A 25,542-nucleotide genomic window follows, 5' to 3' on the forward strand; every position below is an offset into this window, starting at 1 on the left:
GCTCTTTTGAGGCTTATGCCCAGACATTCTCCCATCTGCTAGCATTTGACCAATAAAAGTTGCTTTCCTTTCACCACACCTCAGTTCTCATGCTTTGACTTCTGAGAGGAGAGCAGCTGGACTTGAGCTGGTTACATATACACCAATAATGTTCAAGCTGAGAGCCAAATCAAGAACACAATCCCATTTACAATAGCCACACACAAAAATGAAATACCTAGGAATACAGCTAACCAAGAAGGTTAAAGATCTCTACAAACCTGACAATGTTGGTGTTGTCGTGTTTGGAAATGATTAACTAATTAAGGAAGGAGCTAGAATGAAGAGGACAAGAGCCATTGTGGACATTCCAGTTGGTGAGGAGCTGTTGGGTCATGTGGTTGATGCCCTTCGTAATGCCATTGATGGAAAGGGTCCATTTGGTTCCAAGAACCATAGGTGAGTTGGTCTGAAAGCCCCTGGAATCATTCCTCAAATTTCAGTGCAGGAACCAATGCAGACTGGCATTAAGGCTGTAAATAGCTTGGTGCCAATTGGCCATGGTCAGTGTGAGCTGATTATTGGTAATGGACAGACTGGGAAAATCTCAATTGCTATTGACACAATCATTAACCAGAAATGTTTCAATGATGGATCTGATGAAAAGAAGAAGCTGTACTGTGTCTATGTTGTTATTGGTCAAAAGAGATCCACTGTTGCCCAGTTGGTGAAGAGACTTACGATGCAGATGCCATGAATTACACCATCGTGGTGTCAGCTACGGCCTCAGATGCTGCCCCACTTCAGTAACTGGCTCCTTACACTGGCTGTTCCATGGGAGAGTATTTTAGAGACAATGGCAAACATGCTTTGACCATCTATGACAACTTATCCAAACAGGCTGTTGCTTACCATCAGATGTTTCTGTTGCTCTGCCAACCCCCTGGTTGTGAGGCCTATCCTGGTGTTGTGTTCTACCTATGCTCCCAGTTGCTAGAGAGAGCAGCCCAGATGAACAATGCTTTTGGTGGTGGCTCCTTGACTGCTTTGCCAGTCATAGAAACAGACTGGTGATGTGTCTGCTTACATTCCAATGAATGTCATTTCTATCACGAACGGACAGATCTTCTTGGAAACAGAATTGTTCTACAAAGGTATCCACCCTACCATTAATGTCGGTCTGTCTGTGTCTCGTGTCAGATCTGCTGCCCAAACCAGGGCTATGAAGCAGGTGGCAGGTACCATGAAGCTGGAAGTGGCTCAGTATCATGAGGTCACCACTTTTGCCCAGTTCAGTTCTGACCTCGATGCTGCCACTCAACAACTTTTGAGTTGTGGTGTGTGTCTAACTGAGTTGCTGAAGCAAAGACAGTATACTCCCATGGCTATTGAAGAACAAGTGGCTGTTATCCATGTGGGTATTAGGGGCTATCTTGATAAACGGGAGCCCAGCAAGATTACAAAGTTTGAGAATGCTTTCTTGTCTCATGTCAGCTGGCACCAAGCCCTGTTGGGCACTACCAGGGCTGATGGAAAGATCTCAGAAGAATCAGATGCTGAATTTGAAGCTTAAACGCCTGTGGATTTACATCAAATACCAGTTCAGTTTTGTCATTGTTTATTCTAGTAGATTAGTTTCATTTGTGAAAGGGTTACTCTCATACTCCTTATGTACAGAAATCACATGAAAAGTAAAGGTTCCATAATGTGAAAAAGAAAAAAGATCTCTACAAGGAGAACTGCCAACCACTGCTGGAAGAAATCACAGATGACACAAATAAATAAAAAAAAATTCCATGCTGATGGATTGGAAGAATCAATATTGTTAAAATGACCATGCTGCCCAAAGCAGTTTAAAGATTTAATGCTATAACTACCAATGTCATTTTTCACAGAACTAGAAAAAACTATTCTAAAATTCATATAGAACCAAAAAACAGCCCGAATAGCTAAAGCAATCCTAAGCAAAAAGAACAAAGCTGGAGGCATCACACTACCCAACTTCAAACTATACTATAAGGCTACAGTAAGCAAAACAGCTTGGTCCTGGTACAAAAAAAGACAGATGAATGGAACAGAATAGATAATCCAGAAGCAGTTCTGCACACCTATAGCCATCTGCTCTTTGACAAAGCCCACAAAAAAATGGGAAAAGGGTCCCCTATTCAATAAATAGTGCTGAAATAACTAGCTAGCCATATGCAGAACAATGAAACTGGACCCCTACCTTTTATCGTATACAAAAATTAACTCAAAATGAATTCAAGATTTAAATGTATGACCTCAAACTATAAGAATCCTGGAAGAAAATCTAGGAAAAACAGTATTCTGGACATCAGCCTTGGCAAAGAATTTTTGGCTAAGTCCCCAAAAGCAATTGCAACAAAACCAAAAACTGACATGTGGGACCCAATTAGACTAAAAAGCTCCTGCTCATCGAAAGAAACTGTCAGTAAACAGACAACCTACATAATAGGAGAAAATATTTGCAAAGTATGCATCTAACAAAGGTCTAATATCCAGAACCTATGAGGAGCTCAAACAAATCAAGAAAAAACAAACAAATAACCCCATTAAAAAATGGGCAAAGGACATGGACAGATACTTCTCAAAAGAAGGCATACAAGTGGCCAACAAACATATGAAAAAATGTCCAACATCACTATCATCAGAGCAATGCAAATCAAAACTACAATAAGATACCACCTCACCCCAGTCAGAATGGCTATTATGAAAAGGTCAAAAAACAACAGATGCTGGTGAGGCTGTGTGTGCATAAAAGGGAATGCTTATAAACTGTTGAGGGGAATGTAAACTGGTTCAGCCACTGTGGAAAGCAATTGAAGATTTCTCAAAGAACTTAGAACTACCATTTAACCTACCAATCCCATTATTGGGCATATACCCAAGGGAAAATAAATCATTCTACCAAAAAGACACATACACTTGTATGTTCATAACAGCATTATTCGCAATAGCAAAGACATGGAATTAACCTGGGTGCTTATCAACGGTAGATTGAATTTTAAAAATGTAGTAGTAGTACATATACACCACAGAATACTACACAGCTATAGAAAAGAATGAAATCATGTCCTTTTCAGAAACATGGATGCAACTGGAGGCCATAACCCTAAGTAAATTGTTATAATATAGGAATGGAAAACCAAATACAGCTTGTTCTCACTTGTAAGTGGGAGCTAAACACTGAGTACACATTGACATAAATATGGTAACACTAGGCACTGTGAACTACTGGAAGGGGCAGGAGGGAGGGGAGATGGGTTGAAAAACTGCCTGTTAGGTAATATGCTCACTACCTGGGTGATGGAATCCATATCCTAAACATCAGCATTATTCCACATACCTGTGTAAAAACTTGCAGCTATGTCCCCTGAATATAAAATAAAATCAAAATTATTTTTTTAAAAAGAAATTGTTGTCATTACAGGAAGTGGTAGATATTTTGGGTTCTGCCTAGGCTGTTTCTGAATCAGAAGGGAGTCCATATGATTCTGTTTGACATAAGTATCCCTGCTCAAACCATTCTGGAAGGAATCAACTTTATACATGGAGACATCTGTCATCTCTCTGAGGTAGAGAAAGCCTTCCAGGATATAAATGTTACCTGTGTGTTCCATATTGTCTTTTATGTTATGTCAGGGTGGAAACAATTGAATCAAAAACTGCTTGAAGAAGTCAATGTGGGGGACACAGGCAATGTCCTCCAGGCTTGCAGGAGGATAGGAGTAATAAAATTAGTTTACACTAGTGCTTTTAATGCATATTTGGAGGTGAAATGGTCAGAAATGAAGATGAATCTGTCTTTCTTAGCTCTTCACCTCTAAAGCAATCACTACTCTCAGACAAAATTGACTATGGACAAAAAGATAGTGGAAGTAAATGGTGTTTTTCCTCCCCTACATCCCTAACATCCTGAATCCCTTCCCTTAAGTCTGTGACCACTGGGATACTTGGTCCCACTAAGATAGCTTTCCTCCATTATGATTCCTCATCTACATGTTCAGTGTCATCAGAAGAATGATGTCCTTTTCCAGATAGCTGAATTACACAGCATTTAAATTTATCTTATTTCATTTTTATGAGAAGTTATAATATTGGAATAAAAAGCAGAAACAAGGAAAGAGATTTTCTGAAGTATACATTTTATATGAGCCAAGGAATTAGTACCTGGAAAACTAAACTGTAATATTTAAAATTAGTTTATATATGGAGATAATTATGTTTCTTGCTAAAATGCCTATCACCCTACTGATTCTCAATTTGAAATAAGCATTATAACTTTTACATGTCTGAATATGAAATTTTACAAATTGGACAGGAGAGGCCAGAGAATTAGCTTGCTCTTTTTCCACCATGTAGGAATAAAATAAGAAATCAGCAGTCTGCAATCAGCAGTTACTGGAACTCAACCATGCTGATGCCTTGATCTTGGACTTGCCAGCCACCAGAACTATGAGAAATAAATATTTCTTGTTTAAGCCACGCAGTTTATGATAATTTATTATATCAGCCTAAACTGATTAAGACAAAAATGCTAAGAAACAGAAGGACCACATAGTAAAATTCCATAAACTGTTCTGGAATTTTATGTCTACTACTAAGGTCTAGAATCCAGTAGGTCCTCATGGATTGAATATGGCACCAGCAAGGGGGATGTGGACATGAGCCAGATCCTAACACAAAGGATATTTGCCCTCAGACCTCCTTTATGGTTCCTTCCAGGAGTGTGCAGCCCAGAATAAAGGTTTGATGGAGTGACTGGTGCCACAGGTATGAGCAATCGGCTCATAATGGGGGCAACAGTTTGGAATCAGAGAATCATGATTATTCTTGTAAATGATACTTATGGACCAAAGAGGCACATTGGGCTCAGAACATAGCATTTTTTCCCCTAGGTCTGTCAGCCTATATATCTTTTACAGGCCAGGTATGTCAAAAGTCTACATTTGGGAGAGGTCTTAAAATCCATATAATATACATTTTGTACACAATTTCAGAATTTGTAACAGATTATACTCAAGATACTGCATTTTATCTAGTGTGTTTTTACATTATAATTTCACAGGGTAACAGCTTCTCATTTTCAATGCTAGGTTACTTTTATGTGATATTCATGTTTTGTACCAATCTGGTGTTCAGATTTTATATTGCTTGATATGATTTTTTAAGTGCATAATCACTTTCTTAAAGTTTCTGTTTAAAAACTTATGGGAAGCATGACATAATATAAATTATATTAGAGATGGAATACTTAATATCCCCTAAAATACCAAATAACTTAGACCAGTATCCCAGTATTTAAATATATAGTTGATAACTCAAAGTAATTTATCACTGTTTCTCTGTAATCATTTTGATGTCACAGGTTGTTTAAGGCTTAATGATGATTAAGAACATTTAGTGAATTTATGAACACTTTAATGAATTGATTTAACATTTCAGCTGTTTATGTGCAAGGACCCATAAAATTATCAATTTAAATGACTTGAGAATTAAAATATAATAGTTTATTCTTGGAGCATCACTTTTTCTCTCTCCAGTTATTGGTCAGGCTACCAAATGCTTTTTAAAAAATCTAGGTTTTAAATATTTTTATTTATTTATTTATTTTGAGATGGAGTTTCACTCTTGTCACCCAGGCTGGAGTGCAAAGGCATTGTCTCAGCTCACTGCAACCTGCACCTCCCGGGTTCAAATGATTCTCCTGTGTCAGCCTCCTGAGTAGCTGGGATTACAGGTACCCGCCACCATGCCCCACTAATTATTGTATTTTTAGTAGGGGAAGGGTTTCACCATGTTGGCCAGGCCGGTCTCAAACTCCTGACCTCAGGTGATCCGCCCCAGTTGGCCTCCCAAAGTGCTGGGATTACAGGTGTGAACCACCGTGCCAGCCTAGATATTTTTACATGAGATTGTGGATGATAATCTCATTTTGGGTAGATTTGTATTCTGGGTAGATTTTTATCAGGGATCCTGATTTAAAAAGAAAAAAATAAATTTTTTTTCTGGTTATGATTAGCATTTTTCATTAATTACCACCTATTTTAGTTAAGGTAGCTCCATTTAATTCATACAACATTTTATTTGTAGTGCATGGTGCAATTAAAACAATAGTTACAATGTCATGAAGGACCTGCGCCAAGAATCACATGACACCACATAGCCATCAGTACCTATGACAATGCTACTTTTAAATTCTCATTTTTTAATGAGAATATTGAGGCTCCAAGATGTTAAGTAACTTTCCCAAGAATACACAGCTAGTAGATTCAGATTTATAAGGCCACAAAGCCTGGGTTCTCAGTTACTACTCTGCTCACTGGAACTTGTGGGAGCAAATTCTGATCAATTTATAAGCTCTTCTTCCCCAAAAGATCTTAGCTTGGAGAAGAAGGAGACCTCTATACTGCAGAGCTAAAGTTTTGAGTAGGTTGTGCTTGACTTCTGAGGCATGTGACATGTGAATAAAACTGGTTTTATGAAGGTAAAATCATCAGCATTTCCATGGAGCATCTTGTGTTTCTCAGGGCATGGGAACCAACCATCTGCAGTAAAAAGTAAATTTTTAACTCATAAGTCAATGGAATTGTTGTGGGTATGGATATCACCATATTATTTGGCAGGTGATTCTTATTGAAATATCATAAAGGGCAAGTATTGTGACAACTTTTCTCCATGATTAATAAAACAAACAGATAATCTTTATAATACTAATCATTGCTGTTTCTTTATAAAATGTTCTTGATTACTTAAAGTACTATTAAATTAAAAATCAGATTTTTGCAACATGTAGAAGGCTCTTTTAAAAAAACTGTAATATTATTCTATATTGTATTTCTCTAGGTATAATATCACATCACCATAATCTGCATGGTCTAATAAAATAGTAAACTGTTTCCCAATAAATAGCTTTCCCACAATATGGAAACATTGGCAATGTTTTGTTTTGTTTTTTTGTTTGTTTTGTTTTGAGATGGAGTCTCGCTCTGTCACCCAGACTGGAGTGCAGTGGCATGATCTCGGCTCACTACTACTTCCGCCTTCTGGGTTCAAGCGATTCTGCTGCCTCCACCTTCTGGGTTCAAGCGATTCTCCTGCCTCAGCCTCCTGATTAGCTGGGACTACAGGCATGTGCCACTACACCAGGCCAATTTTTTTGTATTTTTAGTAGAGATGAGGTTTCACCGTGTTAGCCAGGGTGATCTGGAACTCCTGACCTTGTGATCCGCCTGCCTCAGCCTCCCAAAGTGCTGGGATTACACGCATGAGCCACCACATCCAGCCGGCAATGTTTTTTAACATGTAGTTTAGTCTTCAGACCCTCTCAAATTACTTACTGAATTAAAGTATGCCTTTTATAAGAAACAACATTCAGTAATATAAAAATAAACTCTCATGTCTTCTTTACTTTCCATTTAATTTAAGGTACATTTTGGAGGACATTCTTGTGCTTACTTCATGTAACCTCACTTGCTTTTAGGTGAATTCAAAATTCTGATGTTAATCCCTTGTATTAGGGTTCTCTAGAGGAACAGAAGTAATAGGATATATGTATATACGAAAGGGAATTTATTAAGGAGTATTGACTCAGACGATCACAAGGTAAAATTCCAGGATAGGCTGTCTGCAAGTTGAGGAGCAAGCAAGCCAGTGGTGGTTCCGTCTGAGTCCCCAAACCTCAAAAGTAGGGAAGCTGACAGCGCAGCCTTCAGTCTGTGGCCAAAGGCTCAAGAGCCCCTGGAAAACCACTGGTGTAAGTCCAAGAGTCCAAAAGCTGAAGAACTTGGAGTCTGATGTTCGAGGGCAGGAAGCATCCAGCACAGGAGAAAGATGAAAGCTGGAAGACTCAGTAGTCTGCTCTTCCATCTTCTCCTGCCTCCTCGCTGGCAGCTGATTAGATGGTGCCCACCAGATTGAGGGTGGATCTGCCTCTCCCAGACCACTGACTCAAATGTTAATTTCCTTTGGCAACACCCTCACAGACACACCCAGGAACAATACTTTGCATCCTTCAATCTAATCAAGTTGACACTCAATATTAACCATCTTCTTACTGAGCAGTTAACTCATAATAACACTGCCAAAGAGAACTCTAACAGTTAACAGAAGCATTGTTTGTTGTCCTAAGTCTGTCATAATATTCTGTATAACCTTTGAAGAAACATTTAAATTTTCCTCTTTCAAGCAATGAAATGTGCATTCCTTAAATTGAAAGAACATGAGCCTCCTTGATGCGTTGCATGACATGGTGGGAAAGGTGAGCCCCTGAGTCAGAGGACTCATCCCGGATCCCATTCTCTCACAGGCTTGTGAAAGCAGAAGTCACCTTCCTTCTGACCTTGGCATGTATCCTGCTTCAAGAATGGAACTGGAGGCATATCTATTCTGATTACAAAGAAAATTTAAGTCATTCTCCTATAGAATTTTAATTTCAATCATTGTTTTAGGAATTTGCAAATATATGGCTTGCTTTGTCTTAACTAATAGAAAAAGTGTCCTTTTTCAAAAAGAGAAGTGTTAATGTAATGATAATAGTAATGACTTCACAGAGTGTGTGTTCTGTTCCAAGCACTTTAAGCATATTAACAATTTAATCCTCACAGTAATCCTTGGAGGATGATATCATCCTGATTTTGCAAGTGAGACAACTGAGGCACAGAAAGGCCAAGCCTTATATAGCAGAGCTGGTATTTGAACCCAGGATGTCTGGCTCTTAATGCTGTTAGTTTACATTCTTAACTGTGGGCCAGATGTGTGTAACTGACTATCAAACGTGGTTCTGACACAAAACTCTACATCTAAATTCCAATCTCCATTTTACATTTCTGCTAACCTGATGGGGGGAAAACTTTTATTTTAATATGACCAGGGATCCACATTTTGAAAAATATTGCCAGTGCAGTCCTGACAGCCACTTCTTCATTCTTAAGCACCTGGGAGGAAACTGTTCAGAAGTGGTGTGTTATGAAATGGTAAAATCAGCTCTGCCCTTGCTGATGAATCCAGAATAATTACCAATGACTAAGTCCAGCCTCATGACCACTTTCTTGAGTGACATTGAGTTTGCATCCTAATTTGAAGTTTACAATTCTGGCAAGATATTGGACAGCTGCATGGATAATTTTGTTCACAAATATAGATGCAAAACTCTATGCTGCGTTAAAGCTATTTTAAAGAGCATACTTTAGGACTAGTGTTTATTTCCTTGTGTCTAAATTTCCTGTTTTGCATTTGCTTCAGCTAAGATTGTTTTGGGCTAAACTTATCTTCCTACACAGACCCTTGGTATCATGTAAATCAAAATAATCATAGGCATATTTAATTATATGACATTTGTTGTCTCTACACTAAAGTTTTTCTAACATTCTTAAATTTTGTCTACATAATGAATATATTTTTAACAGAAAAATCTATAGGTTTGATTGCCTGCTTATTTAAATAAAAAGAGAAAGAAGAGGTAGAAGAACTATGAACTCTTTATTGGTTGCCAAGCAATAAAAATACTTTTTTGGGAAAAAACTAAACCCCATTGTTTCCTTGAATGTGCTTGTTCTTTCAGCTCAGTCCTAAGAGTGGATGATTACTGAGCACAGGGCCCTGAGATGAACTGAGGGACTCGCATCTCATTCAAGCCTCACAAAGCAGTGGAAGGATTAACGTTTTCTTCATTTTATAAAGAGCACACTGAGACTAAGAATGGTTGATTAGTTTGCCCAAGTTCTCAAGAGTAGTAAAATTTTGAGCCGTTAATTTAAAACAGACCATCTGGAGGTAGACTAGAGCTGAGAATGATCTCAATTAAAGGAAGGAATTCTGTCACTTTGTGGAGTTTTATGAAGAGATAAGATAGAAACCAACCTACTGAGTATTAAACAAAAGGCTATTTCCCGAAAACATCCTTCCACATTCATTCTTCAATCAGTAAAATTTTACTACCATTAAGGCAGAAAAAGGGTTAGACACAATTCCTTCCTTCAAGAAGTTTAGAGGTTAATGGGGACACTACAATATTCGTGACATAACTTAAAAGCTACATAAAAACAGTATAGAAAGGTAAAGATTTCTCTGTGAAAGAGGTATAAAAAAGAAAATATTTTCCTCATGGTAAGCTTGAAGTTTCTTCCTCCCTGGGAGGCTTAAAGGAGTCTTCGTGATGGAGATCTAGAATCCATCTTTAGTTGGTTAGTGTGTGCACATATGAGAGGGAAGGCCATGCTGGGCCTGATCCAAGAATGAGGCTGGAAATGGGTGTACTTTTAAGAAAATGAATAAATAAATAAATGATCTTGTTTGCCTAGGAGCCTGCAAGGGACTAATGGAAGCTGTGAATAGAAAGACCCTTTGGAACCAATTTGGAGATGTCCTTGAAAACGAGGGGAGTATAGAATTTTCTCCAAAAGAAGATAAGAAACCTTTAAAGGATCGTATCTGCGGAGGGGCAAGATAGTAACAAAATCTTCGAGGAGGGAATAAGCCCTTACTTCACCGCTGTTCACCTTGTTTGAGGGCTTACCTTTCACAGCATGGGCCCCTGCTCCTGGCCCTCCCCATCGCCTAGGCAGAGTTTCACTCTTAGCCTCTGTCAAGTGTGATCACCAGCTGACTTATCTATCTCTTCTTTTTTTTTTTTTTTTTTTTTTTTTGAGACGGAGTCTCACTCTGTCACCCAGGCTGGAGTGCAGTGGCGCGATCTCGGCTCACTGCAAGCTCCATCTCCCAGGTTCATGCCATTCTCCTGCCTCAGCCTCCCGAGTAGCTGGGACTACAGGAGCCCACCACCATGCCCAGCTAATTTTTTGTATTTTTAGTAGAGACAGGGTTTCACCGTGTTAGCCAGGATGGTCTTGATCTCCTGACCTCATGATCCACCCACCTTGGCCTCCCAAAGTTCTGGGATTACAGGCGTGAGCCACCGTGCCTGGCCATCTATCTCTTCTTATCAGTGATTGGGCAGTCTTGATACTGAGCTTCCCAGCTGTGGACCCACAACTAAATTAATGTAAGACCCAAAGATCTGAAACGCCCTTTAAGATGCCACCCTTGAGAATAAAGAATGTTAGATACCAGCAGAGGTTTATGCAAGAAGAAGATGGAGTGGTGGAGAAAAACTGGGAGTAAGAAAATTAAAGGAAGAGAAAATAATAAAAAAGAACAGTGATCATTTGTATTAAATAATGAGAGTGAAATTAGGGCTAACAGTATTTTACAGGTGCAGTGGATCACAGGTTGTTGACATGTAACCAACAAGAATTGGACGATATGGCTGCAACCCTTTGTCTGCAAAAGCTCACATGTATTGGCTAGTAATGTTCAAGTAATTAAGAGGACATTAATCAGTTAAATATCTACCCACACATGTTTTCTCTAAAAAAATTCAAGTCTCCATTTTTTTTCTGTCTAATACTTCTGACTTCAAGGATAGAGTCAAGAGAACTGGGACCAGGAATTGCAACTATTGCAATGAGGCAAATCCCCACAATGTCCCAGGTCAGAGAGTCAAGAGAGAGGCAGCTAAACAATGGGACTGTACCCACCTATGACATGACCTTTTAAAACAGCTCTTTTTTTGTGCTTCTTTAGATGGATAGAAGTGAACTTATATCTATGCTTTGATTTTTGCAAAATTCTTAGTCTGTAAAAGATATAGTTGTGACTAGGAGACTAACTCTCATTTGCCTCAGTCCTAAATTCAGTGTGTTCAGTATAACATTGAGGAAATAAAAATCATAATAATGATTTCAAAAGTGACATATTAACTCCATATTTTTGAAAGAAAGTGTGGTCAGGCTCTGTGCTAAAAGAAATTCTACCTACTGATGTTGCAAAAGCATGTCATAAGATGATCTTTATAATGAAAACTAGATTTCTGTGAATGTGCAATGACTTTTGGGTCCTTTTCTTTCCATATTCAAATCTTATTTCACTTCTGTGAGATTTCCCCTTATTTATGGGTTTCTTTAATCATATGCATATATTTTTTATGTTGAAATCTAGTAAAGGTATAAGCTTTTGTTTCATTTTTAGCATGGACCTAAGAAGCTCTTCCATCATAATCTATGGCTTTCATTATTGATTCTGTTTATAGACAGAATATAAATATAATATGAAAATCAAAAACAAGTTTTAAACAAAAATTGTTTTTAAAATTAGATTTTTCTCTTCAACTTAAATATTTTACCCTTCCAAAGGGCGAGGGAAGGAGGAAAGATGAAATTAGCAGAATTAATGTAGAAATAAAATGTTTGGAGCAGAGCTTGGGCTTTTTCCCATAGAGTGAATACTAAATTTTATCAGTATAATGATCCATCACAGTTTAAAGAAGCAACACATTTTCCAATTACAATGATAACTTTTAACATATCCAACATTTTAACATCTCTGTATCTTCTAATACATTAGATTTGAAAAATTCTGTAGTGATTGCTTGTCTCAGCATTTTGCAAACATCATCCTTGCTGTACCAAAACAGAGTTCGCCAATTTTGGAAAGATGTGTGAGTGGCTGAACCTCTTCTGGGACTGGACAACAGACAGCAACTACTATACGTGCAAGTAGTTGTTCTCTGGTGAGCTGAAACAGTTACTCACATCACTTCCCATGCTCTGAGGTTCAGATGAGGAGCCCTGGTAGAGAAAGGCAGCTCTAGATCTTTGTAAGAAGGTAATAAGACACCAAACTGTGCCCTTCAATGGAAAGTATTAATATAATACATCTCTCCAAGGAAGGGCTGACAATGGGAGTTGAAAGCCACCAGACAGCAAGTGCAGGGTGCAAACTCTGTGGCTCTCAAAATGAGTGGGAAGGTAGTTACACAAAGTTGGTGCCCCCATACTTGTCTGGAGGCCTAGCTGAGGAACCAATCCTAGCATGCTCCTCCCATCATCATGGCCACTCTAGGAACCAGCCCTAGCCACAGCCCTACTAGGCAAGAGTTGTCATGCTTCTTTTACAAACTTCGAGTAGATTTAAAGTTTTCCTTTTGTCTTCTTCACCAGAGAAAGAAAAAGTTTACTTTTGGACAGGTTGCATTAAAGCACTTTAGATATTCTCTTTTCTCTGGTGGAAGCCCGTATCTTAGGAGACATGGGGAGCCTGCTGCTGGCTCACCTGTCACAGAACTGGATCGTGAAGATTTCATCTGGTTTTTCCCAGGTGGGCATTTTAAATTTCTGCTTCAAAGTCTGTCTTTGTACTTTTAATAAATAAGACATTTGTACTGATGGAATCTGCAAGACAGGCTTGAAGGAAAAAATAAGTGTCTCAAAGTGAAAGTCTGTTTCTTTTTACATGAACAGTCATGTAAAAAATGTATTAAAAATAGCCTTTTTGACTTGGAGATCTATTATGTTCAGTAGCTAAACTATAACACAGAAGACCACATGGAGCACATACATGAAATATTGTTGAGGTGGCCATTTGGAGTCCTGGGTTCTAGTAAGGACTCCACTTCAATTGGCCGCATGATCCAAGGACGGGCATATCACTTCTCCAGGACTTAGGGTCTTCATCTCTAAAGTGAAGGCTGAACATAACAGGTACCCTTAAAGCTGCAAAGCATCACACAACATTTCACACCTGTTTACCCTCTCATTCTCTTAGATAACACTTTTTCTCTCTTTTCTCTTTCCTTGAAATGCCAGTGTCTCTTCTCCCAGTCTCATTCTTAGCTCCCTACTTCACCAGAAAACTGAAGCAATCAAAAAAGAATGTCCATGAGCTTCCAACATCACATTGGCTTATGGCTGTGATCTGAATGTGTCTCCTCCATAATTCAGGTATTGAAACTTAATGGCCAATGTGACAGTATTAAAAGATGGGCCTTTAAGGCCATGCGGGCTCCTCCCTCATCAAGGGGATAAAGGTCTTTCTAACAGAGGCTTCACACAGCGTCTGGCCCTCTTGCCGTGCTACCTTCTGCCAGGTGAGAATGCAGCGAAAAGGACCGCACCAGATGCCAAAAGGACCTCACTGTCTCCTTGATCCTGAATTTGTCAGCCTCTAGAACTGTGAGAAAATAAACTTCTTTTCTTTTCTTTTTTTTTTTTTTTTGAGACAGAGTTTCAGTCTTGTTGCTCAGGCTGGAATGCAATGACATAATCTCGGCTCACTGTAACCTCCACCTCCCAAGTTCAAGGGATTCTCCTGCTTCAGCCTCCCAAGTAGTGGGCATTACAGGTGTGCGCCACCTCGCCTAGCTAATTTTGTATTTTTAGTAGAGACAGGGTTTCACCATGTTGGTTAGGCTGGTCTCAAACTCCTGACCTCAAGTGATCCACGGCCTTGGCCTCCCAATGTGCTGGGATTACAGGCATGAGTCACTGCACCCAGCCAATTTCTTTTTTTACACATTACTCAGGCTGTGGTATTCTGTTATAATAGCACGAATAGACTGAGACCAAAATTGATACCAGGAGAATGGAGTGTTGCTACAACAAATACCTGAAAATGTAGAAGCAGCTTTGGAACTGAGTAATGGGTAGAGGCTGGAACCGTTTTAAAGGGAATGCTGAAAAAGCCTGTATGGCCCAACATGGCACATTAAGGGTGATTCTGGTGAGGGCTCAGAACAAAAGGAGAGCTGTAGGGAAAGCCTGAACCTTCTTAGTTCATCTTAGACAAGTTCTTATATTATCTCAGTGGTTGTGACCAGAATACTGGTAGAAATATGGACAGTGAGGGCCTTTATTATGGTATCTTAAAGAGAAATCAGAAACACCTTACTGGAAACTGGAAGAAAGGCCATCATGGTTACAAAGTAGCCAAGAAGTTGGCTGAATTATGTTCCTGCCTCAGTATTTTGTGGGAGGTAGAACTTAAGAGTGATGAACTAGGATACTTGATGAAAGAAATCTCTAAGCAGCAAAATGTTGAAGGAATTGCACGGCTTCTCTTAACTGCTCATAGCAAAATGCAAAAAGAGAGAAATGACTTAAAGATGGAATTTATAATCAAAAGGGAAGCTCTCACATGTAAAGAATGTAAAGATTTGAAAAATTCTCAGCCTGGCCATGTAAATAATAAAAAAGCATGTTTAGTAGAGAAAACCAAGGGTGTGCCCAATTGACAGTCTGATAAGCAGATTAGTGTGAATAGCAGGAAGCCAGGAACAATTTATCAAGATAATGGGAAAATGACCGCGAAGACATTTCAGAGATCTTTGAGGCCGCCACATTCTTCACAGGCAGAGTGCTAGGGCCTTGGGGGCAGAACAGGTTTGAGGGAGGGGCCCAGGGTGCCCATGGGAACTTGAGGCTTACCATCCAGGGCCGCCTCAAATCTCTGCTCCCTGCATTCTGGCACAGTGCTCCTTGGCTGTCCCAGCTATGGCTCAAGCAGGCCCAGGTGTGGCTCAAGTCACTGCTTCAGGAGGTATAGGCCATAGCACTTGGCAGCATCCATGTAGTGCGAACTCTGCAAGTGCACAGAGTTCAGGAGCTTTGAAGGCTTAGCTTCCTCCCCTAGGTTTCAGAGAATGCCTCAGAGTGTCTCCACCAGAGGTATGCACAGTGGAGCTGTGTGAGTGGGGCCACCTCAGAGAGTACTCACTAACACAAAATCTAGTGGAACTATGGGGGTAGGGCCATGCTGGAGACCTCCACATTTTAGAGTCACCAGCATGCAATGCCAGCGTGAAAGAGCTGCAGGCAGGAGACTCCAACCCATGAGGGCTGTGGTGTGGGCTGTGCCCAGCAAAGCTATGGGGTTGTGGCCTTTGGAGCCTTGGGGATCCAACCCCTGCCCCAGTCTGCCTTGAAGGTAAAACATGAGTCAAATAAAATTATTCTCAAGCCTTAAGATCTAATGTTGTTTGCCCTTTTGGGTTTTGGATTTACTCAGAACTTGTTACCCCTTTCTTTTAGCCAATTTCTGCCTTTCAGGATGGGAATGTCTATCCCACACCTATACCACCATTGTGTTTTTGGAAGCTAATAACTTATTCGACTTTGCAGCCTCATTGCTGGAGGGAAATTTGCTTCAGGATGAATTGTTCCTTGAGTCTCACTCATACCTGATTTACATAAACCTCTGGACTTTAGACTTTTGAGTTGTTGTTGGAATGAATGAAAACTTTTGGGGCTATTGGGATGGAATTAATAATGTATTTTGCACATGAGAAGGATATGAATTTTGAGTGGCCAGAGAAGAATGCTATGATTTGAATGTATTTCTGCCAAAATTAATATGTTGAAACTTAATGAAGAATGTGATCATATTGAGAGGTGAGGCCTTTAAGAGGAATTAGGCCATGAGGATTCCTCCTCCATGAATAGGATTAAGGACTGTCTTAGTCCATTTTATGCTGTTACACAGAATACCACAGACTGGGTAATTTATAATAAACAGAAATTTATTGGCTCACTATTCTGGAGCTGGAAAGTCCAAGATCAAGGGGCTGACTCCTGCCTAGGGCCTTCATGTGTGTCCTTTCATCGTGAAGGGCATAAAAAAGGGGTGAGAGAGAAAAAAGCAGGCCAAATAGGTCCTTTTATAGGGAGCCCATTCCCACAATAGCAGCATTAATCCATTTATGAAGGCAGAGCCCTCATAGTGTAATCACCTCTTAATACTATTTTAATGATAATTAAGTTTCTAACACATGATTTTTGGGAGGACACATTCAAACTGCAGCAAAGCCCTTAAAAAAGAGGCTAAATGCAGCATTTGGCTCTCTTGCCCTTCTGCCTTCTGTCATGTGCACAGGCAGCAAGAAGGGCCTCACCAGATATCAAATTCTGGCATCTTGATTTCGGGCTTCACAGCTTTTATACCTGTGAAAAAATTAATCACGCAATCTGTGGTCATCTGTCACAGCAGCACAAAATGAACAAAGACACTTACCCACCAGTACCTACACCCACAGAGTCTGCCTTCTCACCTTTTAACTTAGACTAACTACCCTTACTCATATACGAAGCTCATACTTCACCTATTCAAAAATAGAAGTCGCAAGATTAGCTCACCTCTGGCCTTTGGATTTTTCCTTGGAAAATTCTATTAACATCCAGTCATGCTATATTCCCTATCCTTAAGGGCATGACAACAATAGAACACAAACAAAAAGAAACTTTTCTTGGCTTTACTTTCTCTGCCAGCTCCTGTCCCATTTCTATTCTCTTTTGCAACACAATTCCTTGAAGGAGTTATCCACACTCTTTTAAAATATTTTTCTCTGTTATTCTTGTAAACACAGTCCAATCAGATTTTTCAGCACTTCCCCTACACTGCTCTTGTCAAAGTGTCCAACAAATCTCACATTGCTAAAATCAGTGGTCAACTCTCAATTCTCACATTACTCACACTATCTGCAGCATCTGATATAATTGATTACGACTCCTCCTTGTTAATTTTTTTTCTTGTTTCAGTCAGTCTTTTGGCATTAGTTCCATCCATATGCCACTGACTTCCAAATGTGGCTCTCTAGCCAACACCTCTCTCCCAAACTGCAAACTAAAATTCCAAAAGGCTTATTTGACTCTTTTTAGATGTCTTAGAGATAGCTCAAACTTACCAATGTTCAAACCTGAACTCCTGATCTTTGCATTCAAAACTTTGTTTACCTGTAAACTTCCTAATCTCATCTGGTGGAAACTCCATTCTCACACTTGCTTACACCAAATATTTAAGAGTCAGGCTCATTTGGTGGTCTCTTATGAGCTCACACTTGCAGTTTCACTCCTATGGAGCTCAGCCAGGGCTAGAACTTCCATTATGGTTTAAATCATATGGCTGGTAGTTGTGCTGACTATTGGCTGACTCTGGGGCTCTGTTCTCCTCCGTCAGTCTAGCTTAGCTTTCTATCAGCATGGCAGCTGCATTCCAAGACATAAAAAATGGAAGGTGTGGGGATTCTTGAAGTTTTGTCTTTGGAGTTGCACATTGTCATTTCTACCACATGATATTGGTTAAAGCAACTCATAAGATTAGTCCAGATTTAAGGGGAGGTAAGACAGATTCTATGTCTTGATGGAAAAGTGGAAAAGTCATATTGCAAAAGGGCATGTAAGATAGAATGGAGTGTTGCAGTCATCTTTGGAAACAATCGACCGTATAGGACATCTTCAAATTACAAAATAAGCTACTTGCCCTAGAATGTGCCCTCTTTCCCCTTCTGTTACAAGCACATGACCCAGCTGTGATTAGGCAGATATGGACCATACCCTGGGGCATGGAACAGCAAAAAGTTGAAAGAAACCTGTACTCGGATAATCATGCAAAGCTGAGTTGCTCATCCCATGACTGTTAGGTAAAGACAAAAAACTTTCTTCCATCTCCGTTTCTACCCGTTCCCTTTCACCCTCACCCCTTGTATCTTTGATGTTCCCTAAACTGGCCAGGCCTTCTCCAGCCTTAGTCCTTTTAATTGTTCTGTCCACCTGAAACATTCTTTCCACAAATATCTACAGAGCTTGCTTCTTCACTTCATGCAAGGGTTTATTTAAATATCACCCACTTAATAAAGTATTTTTGACCACACTTTTTAAAATAAAAATCCATGACTAATGAAGACTGACACACATTTAGTCCTTTGAACAATACCTAGATAAAAATGTCTGTGGAGTGAAAAGAATAAATGCTGACTTTGCTGTTTACTGGTTTTCTTCAGGAAAGTCTCATTATTTCTCAGACTACTTCATCAGAAAATGGAGATAACAATGGCTTTCTGGCCGGGCGCGGTGGCTCACGCCTGTAATCCCAGCACTTTGGGAGGCCGAGGCGGGCGGATCACGAGGTCAGGAGATCGAGACCATCCCGGCTAAAACGGTGAAACCCCGTCTCTACTAAAAATACAAAAAATTAGCCAGGCGTAGTGGCGCGCGCCTGTAGTCCCAGCTACTTGGGAGGCTGAGGCAGGAGAATGGCGTGAACCCGGGAGGCGGAGCTTGCAGTGAGCCGAGATCCCGCCACTGCACTCCAGCCTGGGCGACAGAGCGAGACTCCGTCTCAAAAAAAAAAAAAAAAAAAAACAATGGCTTTCTTTTACGGTCATTGTGAAACTTAGATGGCCCCGTGTTTGAGAAGTCCTCCTTATGAGGTCGCCCTCATGATTGCTCTTCACTTGAGTTCAGGCTCCCGCTCTTTGTCACTCCCCTTTGTGGAGACAGACAGACTTTCTGGAGCTGACTAACCTTGACTAACCTCTCACTACCCAACCCACATCTGGCTACAGGGGAAAGAACACTGTCACAGGAACTAGGCTGGTTGTACCATCCCCACAAGAGTGTATTCAGATTCTTCTTGAGAAGAGTCTAGAATCGCACCAGAACTCTGATCCCCAGCCCAAAAGCTTGCATCAATGTGGTATTTTTATAAACATGAACATAGTGAAATGACTACCATAATCAAGCTAATTAGCATATCCATCACCTCACATATTTACCTTCCTTTTTTATTGTATGAGAACTCTTAGGATCTATTCTCTTAGCAAATTCCAAGTATACAATACAGTATTATTAACAATAGTCACCATGCTATACATTAGATCTCCAGGACTTATTTCTCTTGCATAACTGAAATTGGACCCTTTACTCAACGTCTCCCAATTTCCCCTACCCCCAACCCCTGGCAAACATTATTCTACGCTCTGCTACCTGGATATTTTGTCTCTCTATGTACATTTTAGATTGCATAAAATAATTTGCTGTTGTAATGAATGGCATTGCACTGGATCCACAAATCAAGTTAGAAAGACATCTTGACAACATTGAGTCTCTCTATCCATGTATATGGAATAGCTCTCCATGTATTTAGTTCTTTGATTTCTTTCCTCAGCTTTATAGCTTTCCTCATATAGATCTTATACAAATTCGGTAGATGTATACCTATGTTTTTAATTTCTAGGGGTGCTAATGTAAATGATATTCTGTTTTTAATTTCAAATTCCACTTGTTTATTGCTGATGTATAGGAAAGTGATTGATTTTTTGATATTAGCTGTGCTCTTATTTTTATTTCCCTCATTTTCCTTGTTTTGAATTTACTTTGTTCTTCTTTCTTATTTCTTGAGTAGGAACTTAGAGTATTGACTTGAGGACACAAATGATGCTGAATAGCCAAAACAATATTTAGCAAAAAGAACGAAGCTGGAGGCATTATACTCCCTGATTTCAGAACATGTTATAAAGTGATATTAATTAAAACCACATAGGTACTCCTATAAAAACAGACACATTGACCAATGGAACAGGATAGAAAGCCCAGAAATAAACCCAGCCATTTGATTTTTGACAAAGGTTCCTAGAACACACAGTGGGGAAAGCACAGCCTTCTCAATAAATGCTGTGGGAAAAACTGAGTATCCGCATGTAGAAGAATGAAATGAGATCCTTATATCATACCATATACAAAAATTAACTCTAAATTGATGAAAGACTTAAATATAAGACTTGAAACTGGAAAACTATTACATGAAAACAGAGAAAATGCTCCAAGATATGGGTTTGATCAGCAATTTTTTGGATATAACCCTGAAAGCATAGGGAACAAAAGCAAAAATAAACAAATGGGATGACATCAAGATTAACTAACTTAATTATATTATTTGATGAATAGAAGTCATTAATTTATAGAAGTTCAATTTAATAAACTTTAAAAATATTTGGTGTCTTTTTGGTCCTGTTTAAGAAATCTTTGCCTATCTCAAGGTCATGGAAGATATTTTGTACTTTTTTGTTATAGAATTTGTATTGTTTTTACTGTCCAAGCTTCCACATTGTGGCCTATGATCCATCCTGAATAAATGTTGCTAAAAATTAAACTTTGACTTAGCTTACTATAAATGATATTTATATTTATGTATTACATAATTTATTTACATATTCTCATATGTATTACATATGAGAATTATTTTACTATAAACACTATAATTAAGGCAGAATAGATATTTTAGATACATATTCCTGAAGATGCCACTTCCATTCAACGGACAAAAAGATAGTCTTTTCCATAAAATTTACTAGGTCAGTTAGATATCTGTAGGTGTGGTGGGTAATTTTGTCTTTAAACTTGGCTGGGCCACAGTGCCCAGATATTTGGTCAAACATTATTCTGAATGTTTCTGTCAAGATTTTTTCGTTTGGATAAGAACAATACATAAATCAGTGGACTTAGGGTTTGCACATTACCCTCCATAGTGTGGAAGGGCCTTCTCCAATCAGTTGAAAGACTTAATAGAGCAAAGACTGGCCAGGCACGGTGGCTCACGCCTGTAATCCCAGCACTTTGGGAGGCTGAGGTGGGCAGATCAAGAGGCCAGGAGATAGAGACCATCCTGGCTAACACGGTGAAACCCCATCTCTACTAAAAATACAAAAAATTAGCCGGGCGTGGTGGCAGGTGCCTGTTGTCCCAGCTACTCAGGAGGCTGAGGCAGAAGAATGGTGTGAACCTGGGAGGTGGAGCTTGCAGTGAGCTGAGATGCCACTGCACTCCAGCCTGGGCGACAGAGCAAGACTCTGTCTCAAAAAATAATAATAATAATAATAGAGCAAAGACTGACACTTCCTGAGCAAGGAGGAATTCTGCTAGTAGACTGCCTTTGGAGTCAAACTGCAACTCTTCCCTGGGTCTTGAGCCTGCTGGCCTAACCTGTAGATTTTGGATTAACCAAGCCCTTACAATTGTGTAAGCCAATTTTAAAAAATAAATCTCTTGATATAGATAGGTAGATAGATACATAGACGGACAGATAGACATTCTGCTGTTCTGCTGGTTCTCTTTTCCTGGAGAACCCTGACTAATACAATGGGGAAAAACATGTATCTTGACCTGCACTTCACCATGCACAAAAATTAATTTAAAATGAATCATAGTATCCTGCTCATTTTTAATTCTTCAGATAAAAATTTACCTACTATATCTTTAGAATAAACTTTTAATTAAAGTTAATTAAAATTAACTTTTAATTTTATTTTTATGTTTTTTTCTCTCCCTTGTGAAACAGTAGTATACTTGAAAACAGGAGAATTTTTTTTTATGTTACCAACGCAGTGCCTGGTAACAAATTTTTAGAGGCTACTATGTGTCAGGCTCTGTGATAAGCATTTTAAGCACTTTACTTCCATAAGTCCTCGGAATAATCATACCCTCTTATATAAGTATTATTATGACCACCAAATCACAGATAAGAAAACAAGCATTAGAGAGAAATTAAGTCCAACTGATTCTAAATGCAGGAAGCTTGTACACTAGGTCTCCCTACATGGCTCCTCAATAAATAAATTAATTAAGAAATAAGAAGGGGCTGAGCACAGTGGCTCAAGCCTGTAATCCCAGCACTTTGGGAGGCCTAGGCAGGCAGATCACGAGGTCAGGAGATCGAGACCATCCTGACTAACATGGTGAAACCCCGTGTCTACTAAAAACACAAAAAAATTAGCCGGGCGTGGTGGCGGGTGCCTGTAGTCCCAGCTACTCGGGAGGCTGAGGCAGGAGAATGGCATGAACCCGGGAGGCGGAGCTTGCAGTGAGCCGAGATCTTGCCACTGCACTCCAGGCTGGGCGATAGAGCAAGACTCCGTCTCAAAAAAAAAAAAAAAAGAAAGAAGATGGGCTTAAAGTTTCATAAAATAGGCCGGGCGCGGTGGCTCACGCCTGTAATCCCAGCACTTTGGGAGGCCGAGGTGGGTGGATCATGAGGTCAGGAGATCGAGACCATCCTGGCTAACAAGGTGAAACCCCGTCTCTACTAAAAATACAAAAAAATTAGCCGGGCGCGGTGGCGGGCGCCTGTAGTCCCAGCTACTGGGGAGGCTGAGGCAGGAGAATGGCGTGAACCCGGGAAGCGGAGCTTGCAGTGAGCCGAGATTGCGCCACTGCAGTCCGCAGTCCGGCCTGGGCGACAGAGCGAGACTCCGTCTCAAAAAAAAAAAAAAAAAAAAAAAAAAAAACTCCTAGGGGAAATAAGAGGGATGCTGGGAGGGCTTTTTATTTGAGTGCCACTGTGGTCTTCCTGATTTGAGTGCCCACTTGTTTCGGAATTTAGGGTGTGGGAGTGACCAAGGAGCACAGTGACTAGAGGGAACTAGAAACAAAATAGACATTGTTCACTTTGGTTGCTAAATTTAATATGTCCCTATTGCACTTTTTGTTTTGGGAAATTTTTCCAACATTAAGAAAAGCCCTTTTAAAGAAGAGTGTTAAAACATTGGTTACATGAGAACCAAGGAGGATTCACCTTACAAGGTGAAATTATGTGTTTTATTCAATTTTCACACTACTATAAAGAAATACCTGAGACTGTGTAATTTATAAATGAAAGAGGAGTTTTTTGTTTTGTTTTGTTTTCACTCAAAATTCTTCAGTTTTTACAAAACTAACAGGGTGGAGTGGGGAGGCTGGGGGGCAGGCAGCCTCAGGAGTAGGGCTGGTGAGAGGCGCTATGCTTCTGTCTCCACCTGAGACTGGCTCCCTGCCGTGTTGCTCTTCCACTCCGCCTTCATCTCTGTGTCAGTGGGATGGTCTCCTGAGCAAGCCTCTGCCTTGGCCTTGTTCTCCTCCTCAGCCAGCCTCTCAAACATTTTGGCATAGAACTTCTCCCAGGCAAGCTGCCTGTGGATCCGCTGCTGACCCACAGCCAGCTGGGCCCTGGCGGCTTTGTCGTTGGGGTAGAGCTGCAGGACCTTCTGGAAGTCAGCCCATGCCAGTTCAAAGTCATTCACCGCCAGGTGGGCCTCTCCCGGGCGGAAGGGGCCCTTCTCGTTGTTGCTGCCCAGTTCTAGGGCATTGTTACAACTTTCAATGGCAGCAGAGAAGGCCTGTAGTTTCAGCTGACACATGGCCAGGTCGAGGTGAGAGGCCAGTCGAAGGGCCTGTGCCTTCTGTGCTTCCTCATTGGAAAAACTAGACTCATATTCCAGCCAGGACACAATCTTCTTACACTGTAGTAAAGCTTGCTTGTATTTGCCTTCCTTGAAGTACACACTGCCCTGCTCTTTCACTATGGTGTTCTGTTCCAGCTTCTCTTCTGAAATCATCTCCCAAGATTCCTTGGCCTTTTCAAAACTCTTGAGATGTAATTCATATTTCAGCTCGGCATTTGGTGGGATTTGGAACTTTTCCTTCCCAACACTGCCAAAAGCATAGCTGGGCTTGAGGTACACAGTGGAATGTTCTCCTTTCTCCAAGTGCTGAATGGCCCTCTCCAGATCATAAGGCAGATCCAGGTTCTCCCCCTCGCTAACCTCAAAGCGGAGCGCCCGTTGGTCAAAGAGCTGGTCCTTGCAGCACCCTTCCAGCGCAACCTCCACCATAGCGCCCTCATCGGGCTTGACATAGCCTTCACCGCGAGTCCCTATTCTGCGGATGATTCCCCCATCTTCCTCTTCCGTCAGATCTTCTTCCTTAAACAATTCCACCTCAAACACAAGCGTGGCGTTATGGGGGGATCGTTGGAGGACTGTCTGCTGAACCCTAGGCATATCCTGGTTTGCAGGTGATGTGGCCCACCTCCCCCACCTTCATGGTTGCTACGGCAATGTCCCAAGCCTTGATGACCTCCCCTTTTCCCAGGTCAAAGGAGAATTTGTCCTTGCGATCCACGCTGGAGTCAAACTTTGTGCCCTCTAACAGCCAGCCAGTGTAGTGGACAAAGACTAGGTCCCCAGTCATGGGCATCTCTGTACCTGTGCCCTCTCTCTTGATGACCTTCAGCACTCCTTCATCCTGTTTGGGGCTGACGTCCACTTCCTTCTTGGGCAGCGGCGCCGGCTGCGCCGCACTCTCGGTCGCCTTCATCTCCTTGGCTGTCATCTCTGCGTGGCGCGAAATTTTTCCGGGAGATGGCGCAGGCGCGAGTGCACTCTGGGCCGCAGGCGGGGGCGCTACCTGCAGGGCATGCGGCAGGCCGGACACTACGGCGCTGACCGCGCGGAGGCTGGAGCACCTCTCAGGAAACAGGTTTAATTGACACAGTTCCACGTGGCTGGGGAGGGCTCAGGAAACTTACAATCATGGCGGAAGGCAAAGGAGAAGCAAGTATCTTCTTCACAAGGCAGCAGGAAAAAGAAAACAGGCGAAACTTCCTCTTACAAAAAAACCATCAGATCTCATGAGAACTCACTCACCAGCACCAGCACAGCATCGGGGAAACTGTCCCTGTGATCCGACCACCCCCCACCAGGTCCCTCCTCGGACGTGTGGGGATTACAATTCGAGATGAGACTTGGATGGGGACAGAGAGCCAAACCATATCAGTATGTCTATTCAGAAAAATGTTTATATATATATATATATATATATATATATATATTTTTTTTTTTTTTTTTTTTTTTTTTTTTTTTTTTCAGAGTGTTACTCTGTCACCCAGGCTGGAGTGCAGTAGCGCGATCTTGGCTCACTGCAACCTCTGTCTCCCGGGTTCAAGCGATTCTCCTGCCTCAGCCTCCCGAGTGGCTGGGATTACAGGCGCCCACCACCACGCCCAGCTACATATACATATATGTATTTTTAGCAGAGACCGGGTTTCACCATGTTGGCCAGGCTGGTCTTGAACTCCTAACCTCAGGTGATCCGCCCGCTGGTGTAAGCCACTGAGCCTGGCCAG

General features: G+C 40.8%; 3 pseudogenes; 2 read left to right on the forward strand and 1 right to left on the reverse strand.

Annotated features, from left to right (window-relative positions):
• Positions 258–1,687, forward strand: ATP5F1AP7 (ATP synthase F1 subunit alpha pseudogene 7; annotated as a pseudogene).
• Positions 3,409–3,961, forward strand: SDR42E1P3 (short chain dehydrogenase/reductase family 42E, member 1 pseudogene 3; annotated as a pseudogene).
• On the reverse strand, positions 23,284–24,886 carry FKBP4P7 (FKBP prolyl isomerase 4 pseudogene 7; annotated as a pseudogene).

This window comes from Homo sapiens, chromosome 9 (assembly GCF_000001405.40).
Source record: "Homo sapiens chromosome 9, GRCh38.p14 Primary Assembly".
Lineage (NCBI taxonomy): Eukaryota > Metazoa > Chordata > Mammalia > Primates > Hominidae > Homo > Homo sapiens.